This window comes from Homo sapiens, chromosome 8, assembly GCF_000001405.40.
Source record: "Homo sapiens chromosome 8, GRCh38.p14 Primary Assembly".
NCBI lineage: Eukaryota > Metazoa > Chordata > Mammalia > Primates > Hominidae > Homo > Homo sapiens.
In genome coordinates, this window is record NC_000008.11 from 89,928,037 (window position 1) to 89,940,423 (window position 12,387).

Below are 12,387 nucleotides of genomic sequence, written 5' to 3' on the forward strand. Positions count from 1 at the left end.
AGGTCAGGAGTTTGGGACCAGCCCCGCTAACATGGTGAAACCCCATCTCTACTAAAAATACAAAAGTTAGCTGGGCGTGGTGGTGTGTGCCTGTAGTCCCAGCTACTTGGGAAGTGAGGCACAAGAATCGCTTGAACCTGGGAAGCAGAGGTTGCAGTGAGCTGAGACTGCACCACTGCACTCCAGCCTGGGCTTCAGAGCAGAACTATCTGAAAAAAAAAAATTAAAAATCTAACTCGGTTACAGAGGCTGCTTGTTGCATAGAGCCATTTTGATCTGATCAGATCATACAGTTTTTAAGTTGTATACTTTCCTTGTGGGGGGAGGGGGATAAAGGGCCTGAGTCCCCTAAGGCTAGTCTGAAGAGTATGTGAAATAAGGATTAAAGAGATACCCTGATTATTTTGAACAACTACCCACTCCCCCCCCGCCGCCAACCACCCATGCAGGTTATTCAAGAGAAATGGTGTCTGGGGAAGGAACAGGGTAAAAAAGGTGAAGAACATGACTAATAAAGCATAAAAAGAATGAAAACCTTCAAATTAAAAATAAAAGGATGGCGTCCTGGTTTTAATCATGATGGAGTAATAAGAATAGGGCTTACCTTTTACTGTAATAATCAACTATAAAACTCTAGAAAATATATAAAGCAGTGTTTTCATACAGTTGTAGACAGCAGTCCAGGACTGATTTTTAAGAGAAGAAACAAGCGGTGAGCTCCATAGTCACCCTGACTTTCTGCTTGAAGGTACTTTGCAAACTAACACAAAGTGGAGTATGTCTGGTTGGGAGAAAATAACACAGTATAGGGTTCCTGCTGGAATCTGCTGGGCAGAGTACTGGGGAGGAGGAAGCTGCAGAGATGCAGCTGCAGAAATCTGCATAATTTTCTTACATCTGGCACAATACTAAACAGTACAGGGAGAAACCATGGGGCTTTAGGGATCAGCAGCTATAAGTTAGGGGCCGAGTGGAGACTTTGAAGGTATTCAGCTCTGGAAGACATTGGAATTCTGGCCAAATAGCAGAGCCAGACCTTGCTGAACACCTCAAGCATTCAGCTGAAACCCCAAAAAGGCCATGCCTTGCGAATAGGGGTACCTTAATTTGCCCCAAACTAAGCCTCAACAGGATCAAGCAGAACTGTGAGTAAATTAACTGCCTGCCAGCACAAGACTTGACACTCCTCAAGGAAGACAAAATCCAGACTGTCACAACAGCATCAGTAATGTCCAGCACACAATAAAAGATTACTGGGTGTCCAGACAAGAAAATGTGACACAGCCAGACAAAACAAGCAATCAAAACAGATCTAAGAATTGATACAAATGTTGGAAGTCGCAGACAAGTACTTTAAAAGTTAATATGTTCAAAATATTAAAATGACACTGAACAAGTAGGGAATCTCAGAAGAAAAACTAAAAAGTGAACATTCTATAGCTGAAAAGTACATTCTGAAATGAAAAATTCACTGGATGAGCCTAACATACCGGACGCTGGAGAAGAAAAGATAATGAACTTGAGAACAGGTTAATATAAACTATCCAAAAAAAGCATAGAGAAAACTAAAAAAACAATTGCCAGACTTGATGTGATAATATCAAGTGTCTAACATGTACAGTTGGAATTCAAAAGGAGAGGAAGACTGGGCCAGAGAAACACATATTTGGAGAATTAAAAGCTGAAAAATTTACAAATTTCATTTAAAAAATCTACAACCCATAGATCCAAGAAACTCAAACTGCAAACAGGATAAATATTAAGGAAATCACGCCTATGCACCTAATAGATTGCTGAGAAAAATAGGAAAGTTTAAAAGCTGTCGGAGAAAAAAGGGAACAATGATGAGAATACATGACTAGAAAAAAATGCAATCAAGAAGACAGTCTTAAATATCTTTGAATTGCTAAAGTAAAAATACTGCCAAACTAAAATTCTATATCCAGTGAAAATATTCTTCAAAACGAGTGAAATAGTCGTTTTTGGATATGTGAAAGTTGAGAAAATATGCTGTCAGAAGACCTGCACTGCAAAAAGTGGAAATTCTTCACATTGAAGGTACATGATACCTGCATATATCTACATGAAAGAAAGAAAAATGCCAGAAATGGTAAATAAAAATTATGTATTTTCTCATTTCTTAAATTATTCAAAATCCAATTGACTGTTGAGAATGTGTTTAACCAAAAACAATTTAAAACAAAAAGTAAAAAATTGTATGATTTAGGACATGTAGAGTAAAATATACGATAATTGTAGCACTGTATAGAAAGACAAATAGAAGTATACTTTATTTTTTTTCCCCAGAGAGGGTATCACTCTGTCTCCTAGGCTGGATTGCAGTGGTGTAATCTTGGCTCACTGCAGCCTCACCCCAGTCTCAAGCGATCCTCCTGCCTCAGCCTCCCAAGTAGCTGGGACCACAGGGAGGTGCCACCACACACAGCTGATTTTTTGTAGAGATGGAGTTTTGCCATATTGCCCAGGGTGATCTTAAGCTGAGCTCAAGTGATCTGCCTGCCTTAGCCTCCCAAAGTGCTGGGATTACAGGCATGAGCCACTGTGCGTGGCAGAAGTATACTTTTATCAGGTGTATACATTATACAATTAGTGGTGTGTTATTAACTTTAGATAAGAATGCATATCCTTATAGTAACTACTAAAAACAAGTAAAAGGTACAGCTGTAAAGCCAACAGAAGAGATGAAATGGAATACTAAAAAATAATTCAAAGAAGGCAGAAAAAGAGAAACAGATGGGACAAAATAAGTGAGAAAATAACCATGATCATATACTCCAACCCAACCGTAGCAATAATTATATTTACATACAAGTGGATTAAGCACTACCAACTTAAAAGCAAAGATCATCAGATTCAATAAAAAGCTTCAAAAAGGTTTACAAGAGCTTTATCCAAATATAAAGATACCAATAGGTTATAAGTAAAAATGGAAAAAGACATACCATGAAAACATTAATAAAATACTTCAAGACAAGTATTAGAGATAGATATTTTATAACAATGTTTAGTTAATGGAGAACTTATCAATTCTAAATGTATATGCACCTAATTACTGAGTTTTAAGATACATAAAAGACAATGGAGAACTAAGGTGAGACAAAGTTACAATCATAGTTGGAGACTGAGTAGACAAAATCAGAAAGGATGTAAGGGATATTCAATGGCATTACCAACCACTGATCTGACATTTATAGAACTACTACACCCCTAAACTGCAGAATACTCATTCTTTTTATGTGCAACCAGAATATTCACCAAAATGGGCCAACAATATGCTTGCCCATAAAACAAGTCTCAAAAAATTTAAAAAGATTAAAATATGACTGAATATGATCTCTGACAACAGTGGAATTTTAGAAATAGTAACATATAGAAATAAATAGCAATTAACTATTGTATCTTTTGGTAGATGGAAAAATTATATTTGGAAATTAGTCCATACATCAGTGAAAAAAAATCACAGGGAAATTAGGACATTTTTTGAGCCAAAAGATCACTCAAGTAACCAAATTTGTCACATGCAGCTAAAGAGGTGTGTTGAGTGAAATTCTAAATACTCATTTTTGAAGCTGGGTTTAAAATCAATGATCTACAAAGGACTAGGGAAAAAGAGCAAATTAAACCCTAAGTAAGCAGAAGCAAGGAAAGTGAAAATCAATGAAATAGAAAAAGGAGAGGCCAGGCACGGTGGTTCATGCCTGTAATCCCAGCTACTCAGGAGCCTGAGGCAGGAGTATCGCTTGAACCTGGGAGGCAGAGGTTGCAGTGAGCCAAGATCGCACCATTTCACTCCAGCCTGGGAGGCAGCGAGACAGAGTCTCAATAAATAAATAAATAAATAAATAAATAATAGAAAAAGGACATACATTAGAGAAAAATCAATGAAATTAAATGTTCTTCAAACAAATTTAATTTATAAACCTCTAGTTAGAGAAGAACCAAAGAACACAAGGTTCAGGTAACAAGAAAGGAAAGGGAGACTCCATGACATATTACAGACATTTTAACGCAAATACTATAAACTTTTATACCAATACATTTCACAACTTACTGGAACATATGAAGTCCTTAAAAGATGCAAACTACTGAAACTACTAGAGGTAGAAAATCTATAGTTCCTTGAGATAAAAAATAAAGACATTTAACATTGTATTGACAGCCACTGTAATAGGTAAGAAAAAGAAAAGACAAAAACAATTGGAAGGAAGAAGTAAAACTGCCTGTATTCACCAATGACATGATTGTGTACTTAAAATCCTAAGGAATCTGCCAAAAAAAAAAAAATTTTGCCAGAATAGGTGAGATTAGCAAGTTCACAGGATCCAAATTCTATACACCAAAAGTAATTGTATTTTCATATAGAATAAATCATTGCAAGATGAACTTTCTGAAAGTATCGTTTACAGTACCAAAAAAATGCTTAGGGACAGATTAAAACAGATGTCTGAGCCTCTACAGTGAAACTACAAAACAATGTGGAAAGAGTAGATCTAAGTAAATGAATAGACATTTTACATGCATGGATTGAAAGACTGAATATTTTTAAGATGTCAGTTCTTCACAAATTGATTTTTAGATTCAGCACAATAATTCTAGCCGATTTTTGGGATAGAAATTGACATGCTCAGAGGACTGATGTATCTGACTTCTAGACTTCCTGCATAGTCCTGACTTACCATTTTTTGACTAGATGGTAGTACAAGAGTGATAGACATTCAGTAGAAAGCCTACTTTGAATTTTGTTCTTTTCCCTGGCTAGTAATGTGCCCATAGAATACTCAATCTTGCAATGCTGGGCAGCAGCAGCAAGCCGTAGCTTCCCGTCAGCCACAGCATCAAGAGGGTAAAAACTGATTCTTGCTCTTTGTGAAGAACACTATTCCTGCTAAACCATCAAGTATTGATGCCCTTAGTGCCTTCAACCAATGCTTCTACTCAAGCCTAATCAGTAGGGAAATTGATAATCCTGTTGCTGTAGTATTCCCCATCATGCCGCAATTTTAGTTCAATGCTTCAAACATTCTTCAGGCCCAGTGCGCTTTCAGCTGTGTATGTTTATAGTGAGTAGCTACACAATCATTCTGTTTTTTGCTTTCAGTTTACTATTCAATAAATTAGATGAAATATTCAGTACTTTACAATAAAATAGCTTTTGTGTTAGATGATTTTGCCCAACTATAGGCTACTGTGTCATGAGTACATTTAAGGTAGGCTAGGCTAAGCTATGACGTAGGTTAAGGTGTATTAAATGCACTTTTGACTTAAATACAGTATTTTCAACTTACATTGCGTTTATTACAATGTAATCCCAACTTAAGGAGCATCTATGCAGCTACAGTAATTCAAGGCAGTATGGTATGAGTGAGTGCAAGGATGGACAAACATTTCAGTGTAACCAAACAGAAAGTCCAGAAACAGATCCACCATTATGGTTAATTGATTTTTTACTAATTGGCAAGGTAATTTAATGAGGAAAGGATAATTCTTTCAATAAACAGTGTTACAATGACTGGATACTTGTATGGGGGAAAAAAAGAACCCTGATCCATAATTCACAACATACATATCAATTCAAGGTAGATCACAAATATAAAAATATAAAGTTTATATAATAGAGCAGAATATCTGAAATCTTGGGGTTAAATTGGAGAGAAAAAATATCAAACAAAAGAAAAAAATAAATTTGACCTTGTCAAAATTTAAAACTTCTATTCATCAAAAGACATAAAGAAAACAGTCAAGCCACAGACTAGGTGTAATATCTCAATACATATATCCGACAAGAGACTTGCATCTAGAATGTATAAAGAATTTCTATGACCCAATTATAGCTATCAGGGATATACAAATTAAAACCAAAATGAAACATCACTACACACCGATTGGAATGGTTAAAAAGGAAAAATACTGACAACACCAATATTTGTAAAGACAGGAGGTACCAGAACTCTCATTCATTATATTCATAAATTGACAAATATAAAAACTGCTATAGTAGGGCAGTCTTCCTTAGAAAGGGATTGTGGGCATGACAGAGAACAATATTAATCTGTCCATTATATTCCTTAACTGTAAAATGGAGACCATATGTTCCACCAGCTTCACTTGGTAATTATGATACATGGCTATTAAGAGACTCAAATGACTCCATTTCATCAACTAATATGCCCTGTCAATTCTACTTCTAAAGTATCCCATGTTCTATCCAATGTCATACCACTATCATAATTTAAGTGTTCATAACTCTCTATAATATTTCAATAATCTAACTGGTCTCAATGCCTGTAGTAGAAATTGCAGATTGGCTCACCCAATTTCTGTTCCCTAGGAAGGCTGAGAAGCTTTTAAAAAAAGACCTTCATTTCCCTAACTCCCTTGCAGCTGGAGTTCCACCTGCAAGCAGCCAGAACTTGGAAGTAAGTTAATTTGGTTCTGGCAAGTAGATGCACTTCCACAAGATTTGGAAGGTGAGAGTGATGTAGAGGCCAGCCTCTTGTCCCTTCTGTTGCTTCTGTTTACAAGGGAAGTCATGGAAATATGGCCTCCATTCCTCACTGTTCCATTTCTCATTCTCTAAACAACTAATCAGTTGTAGTGACTCTTGACTGGAACTCCCTTCTTGCTGGATCACAGGTACATGAATATATTTTTGAACACAGACTTGAAAATCACTTGTCAATAAAGTTTGAAAAAAGACATTCATTGTTTCTTACCATCTCCCTTTAAGGTAGAAAAAGAAAACAATCTCACCATTTCTACTTTATAAGTAGGAAAACTAGGACTCTAAATAAGCTCAAAACAGACACCCACCCAGCTCAGTAAGACCACCAAAAAGGGGTACAGGTCTTTCCATTCTGGTGAAAACTAAACCCATGTTTGATGAAGTCTCCACATGGTCTTCAGTTTCTAGTACTAGAATAACATGTAGGTGACATCTGCACCACTGAAGCCATTTTGTTTGGATCACCAGAGTTTAGGTAAGACTACAGCATAATGGAAAAGAAAAAATATTAAAAACATTATATTGATATTCCTATAATTTTTAATCTACTAAGTAAAAAAGCAAGGTGTAGAACACTGCATATGTTATGCTATCATTTGTGTAGGAAATTATTTAAAAATAGGAATTTGAATAGGACTCAAAAATCCCTGGAAAGATTCATAAGAAATGAGTATCATGAATTTTTTTCTGAGGGGAACCAAGTAGCTAGGACAATGGTGGAAGGGTGACTTTAGTCTTTACCTTACGTACATTTAGAATTTTGAACTGTGACTATATTAACTATTTAATAAACAAAACACATTTAAAAATGAAAAAAAGATGCAATGACAAAGCCTGAAAACAGAACAAACAATTGTTACATACAAAAGAATCAAAGTTTTGTGCATTTTATTTAATAAATTTAGGCCATAAAACATTGTAACTTAAATCGCTTCTATACACTATATATTCATATAACCTTGTTGGCCTGAAGTAGATGCTTACTAGGAAGTTTTTCCATGGCTTCTTTTTAAAATCCTCAGTTATCTTCTCCTTTTTAAATAAGGATTGTATCTGCAAAGAAAGAAATGGGGTTAAATGATATTTAGATAAGGGATGGTATTTCTTTTAAAGGTAAAGAACTTTCAAACTGTAGTCACACTTTGGCAAATAGGATGGGAATGACAATTTTGTCCTTAGGATCAGATACTAAGCACTGACATTTTTATTTTCATGTATCCCTTTGATGTTGCTTTGATGAAAATATGGTAAAAACAAAAAAAAAATCAACAATAACAAAAATCCTTTAAAGCTTTAAAATAATTAATGAAAACAGTTTAAAAATGAAGGTATGTTTACACTTCTTTCTGTATGGCTTCAAAGATCCCCATTCCTCCCCATAATAAAAGCATATCATTTGCACAAAAGAGCATAATCTACTTAAATGTAATTAGCACTTTACAACATTTTCTCCTACAGCAGTTAAACAAATATGGCTGAACAACCCATCTCATTTGACTAATGAAAAACCAGTATTGTCTGTCAACACTTTTTTTTTTTTTTTTTTTTGAGATGGAGTCTCTCTCTGGAGTGCAGTGGCGCGATCTTGGCTCACGCAGCCTCCGCCTCCTGGGTTCAAGCGATTCTCCTGCCTCAGCCTCCTGAGTAGCTGGGATTACAGGTGCATGCCACCACGCCTGGCTAATTTTTGTATTTTTAGTAGAGACGGGGTTTCTCCATGCTGGCCAGGCTAGTGTTGAACTCCTGACCTCGTAATCCGCCCACCTCAGCCTCCCAAAGTGCTAGGATTACCCGGCCTGTTTGTCAACATTTTTACCAGCAATTTATACTGTCAGTTATGAAATTAGAGAATCAATCTAATTGGCTGCAAAACAGACTCAAAAATAATTTCTTCATTCTGTCTTCTCCCCTGATATCTACCTATAATATAGTATTTTATTAGTATTTCAGAGGCAATTATTATAATAGGTTTGTTAGGCCTGCAGGAATGCTGAAAATGTATTAAATCAGAATTAAATTATAATCACAAAGTACAACTCTAAAACCTCCCACAAAAACCTGCTTTGAAACTTTAATCTAGCCTTTTGTTTTTATGCATGTGCCAATAAAAACTAAACAAATGGTCTGGCATTTTACTTGTCTTAATTCAAAACTCAATCGTAATTCTACTCAGAGCTGAAAAATCTCACAAATCTATACAACAATTTCACACAATTCGGGAACCGTCTTTTTGCCTGAATGCCCCCATACAAATTTTAAGTATCTTATAACTTAACCCCAAACCTCGATGCTATAGCCAATAAACCCAATTGAGAGGTGCTTAAGTAATAAAAATAAACACTTGTGTTAGGTGAAGGGACTAGGTGTCTATGAGGACAGAAGAAACAAATTCTTAATTTCTATGAACAGAACTAAATTTTATATACATCTCTCAAAGGTACATGAGAAAGGTGAATCAAACTTTACCTAAAAAGATCATCAGCAAGAGACTCTTCTTTTGCATGTTGATTTTGTACCTGTCAAAATTAACATAATTTCAAACATTTGCTCAGTGGTGAATATATAGTTAATGAATTGCTATAGTGATAGGTCACTGTCATCTTAGAGATTTCCACATCCTGGAGGTCACCACATCTGAGTTCTTGCCTCTACAATATTTCATTCAACTGATCCTCTATATTTTCAATCCATGCTAAGATTATTACAAAAGAGCTCTAACTAAACAGCTTTCTCCCACCCATCTCCACTCAAAGACAACCAATAGTATATTGCTAGCTTGCTGAGTTTTTAAACACTCTTTCCAGCAAAACCCTTTTACTAAATGAGATTTCAGTGCTTGGGGGTCAGACCACTGATGAGACTAAGAGGGCAACATTTACCCCACCTTCAACTAGAGCAGCTCCACAGTTAAAGAGGCTCCTGTGTTCTTGGTCCCACATCAGGGCTTAGAAGCTGCTGCTAAATTACCTCTCCTCTGAAGTCCTTTTAAATACAAACTCACTAAACTTCTACAGCACCTTACAGAGTCAGAATCAAAAACTCCCTGTGCTGAGTGCATCTTCCTAAAGTCTAGCTATGCCCTTATCATATGCAATTTGAAACCCTTCGTGACTTCTCCCACCTACCAAGGAAAACACAAGCCCTTGCATTTGACCCGCTGAAATGTGCAAGGCTCTTCATAACCTGGTTCCATTTTACTTTCCTAATCACTTCTCAGCCTCCTCTTCGTGGACTCTGTATGCCGGTTAAAACTGAATCACACAAAAAAGAAAAAAGCAAAACCAAAACAAAACCCCAGAATCATCTCCTAATAAATATCCTGTGACCCTCTATCTGCTTTTGTTCATATTTCTCCCTCTGCCAAGGAAGTTAATTCCTTTTTTTCCCTCTTCCCACATGTAACCATCTTTAAAGGTACATTCATTCAATACTTATTTAGTGCCTACTATGTTTCAAGGAACATGTTCTTCCCCTCTTTAGCAAAGGCTTCCTGATCCCCTTCTTCTAAAAATAATGCCTGCTGTGAAGAACTCTCCCAAAACTTCAGCTACAGAATTCCCAGGATGCTTATCAATTTCTACCTTCTGTTATAATTATTTATATTTGTACCCTATCCTCTCTAAAAGACCAGAAGTTCCTTAAATACAGATAGAGTAAGTCCTGACTTAATGTTTTTGATATTTCTTGGAAACTGCAACTGTAAGTGAGATGACATACAGCAGTTCCTTGAATCATGTTGTTTTGTTGTAATAATGAGAAAAAATATTGGTTATGTAATTTTGCTTAAAGTTGCAGTTTCCAAAAACCTACTGACAATGTTAAGGACTTACTGTGTTTATTTTTACTGTTACTAATTTACATTTGAATGCTTCCAGATACTATCTTAAACTCTCTCTCTCTCTCTATATGTGTGTGTGTGTATATATATATATGAAATCTCACTTAATCTTCATGTAACTTCATTACTATTATACTATTATCTCAGTTTTAACCAATGAGGTAACAGAGACTTAGGTTAGGTAAACCTGCAGAAGATAGGGGAACTCAGATGGAATAGCTGGGATTTGACCAGGTCTACCTTATTAAGAGCACCAGCTCTTAACGAGGCTGCCTCAGGGCTTCTGAATCTCTAGAGCAAGCCTACAAGAGTGACTTGCAGGGATTCGATCTTACAGACTGATTTTTCTATCATATAGTGAAACAAAATTACATCTTATCTTTTCATATTTTCTAATAGGGATAGCAAAACATAAATGGGAAGACATCATTTTAATAAAACAGCTGTCAAAATAACTACTGGCAACATTTTTCTAAACATTCTTAGAGGTTGCCTGGGGAATAAAGTTGTAGCATAGTAAGGAAAAACCACTGAGGAGAAAGCAGTTTTATTTCATATATTTCAGTAAAAACATATAAAATAGTATTAAGAAACAGAAATGCCTCATATTACTGGCATTTTTCAGAGGTCTGAGATAACTACTACTCACAGTCTTTCAAATTCAAATCAGGTTGGATACAGTTCAAATAATTTTTATGTTTGATGTACACAATGAAAATATCCTAAATTCAAGGGAACTTCAGGAACTGACGCAGTGATTATGAAAATCAAGACTGGTGGGTCTGCAGCAGAGGTAGAGAAAGAAGGGATGAAAAAGAAAAATAGGGAGGGAATATAGAAAAAGAATAGCTGCAGCAAACAGGGAAATGAGATGGCAGTACAGAACATTTACATAAATAAGCAGTAGCCATGCAGCAAAAGCAAGTCAAGTCTGTTATAGAGTAAGTCCTACCAATAGCAACTAAAATGATTCTAGCAAAAAGAGAAGTGATTTGGTGAAATCATCTAGAACACAGTCCATCTAATTCCTAATGAAATAAGCAAAAAAAAAATAGAAAAAAGTCAGCAGCTGTATGATGTATCATCATTCTCTCAACTTCTCCCATCTAAAATTAATCAAACAAAACTCGACAGTGTTAATTAATCAAGGAGAAGAGTTTAAGCCATGCCATACGCTTAAAAAGTGCAGCTGTAAAAAGAACCAAATGATTCTGATGCAGCTGATTCCTAATACTGTCTCAATCCATTAAAAGTGCTACACAACTGGTCAAACCTGAGGATTCTTACTAATGCCCCAAATTTGGGGAAAAGGTAACCTGAACAGGGAAAACAACTGCCAGTGGGCTGCTGGGAAGGGACTAATGGTGTAGAAGGTAAAGAAGCAGGGCTGACACTGACCAAACACATAGGCTCCAAGGATCCCTAACAAATTAGGTAAACAACCTAATAATGCTAGGTTATTCTCTTTTATATAGGGCACACTCCCTGGTATAGGACATTTAATTAAAATCCCAGGAGACAGCTAGCCCAAGCTGCACACAGCTCCAGCTGAGCCTTTCCTCTCCCAGATTCAATGTCTTCAGACAACAGAAACTAGATGGGATATGCCATGTGCCACTGACTGTTTCAGCATAATGCCATACTGACAGTGAGGCATGAGGGAATTCTGTTCTTTAATTTTTATTTTATTTATTATTATTATTTTTGAGATGTGGCCTTGCTCTGTCACCAAGGCTGAAGTGCAGGGGCTCAATCATGGCTCACTGCAACCTTAACCTCCCAGGCTCAAGCAATCTTCCCACCTCAGCCTCCTGAGTAGCTGGGACTATGGGCACATGCACTACCATGACCCGCTAATTTGTTGTGTTTTTTTGTTTGTTTGTTTAATTTTCATTTATTTATTTTTTTGTAGAGACAGGGTCTCAAGATGTTGTGCAGGCTACTCTTAACTCCCGGGTTCAAGTGATCCTCCTGCTCCCAAAGTGCTGGGGTTATAGTCATGAGCCACACCATTGTGCCTGGCTGA

General features: G+C 36.3%; 1 protein-coding gene across 5 annotated transcripts in view; it reads right to left on the minus strand.

Annotated features, from left to right (window-relative positions):
- The window catches only part of NBN (nibrin), a 51,337-nt gene continuing 44,244 nt past the window's right edge, over positions 5,295 to 12,387 (minus strand). For all 5 annotated transcript variants that reach the window (NM_002485.5, NM_001024688.3, NM_001440379.1 and 2 more), the window contains 2 exons: positions 8,990 to 9,039; positions 5,295 to 7,576 (listed from right to left, as the gene is read on the minus strand). In NM_002485.5, coding sequence (NP_002476.2) covers positions 7,546 to 7,576; positions 8,990 to 9,039 — 81 coding nt within the window. In that variant the 3' untranslated portion in view covers positions 5,295 to 7,545. The remainder of the gene's footprint in view (positions 7,577 to 8,989; positions 9,040 to 12,387) is intronic.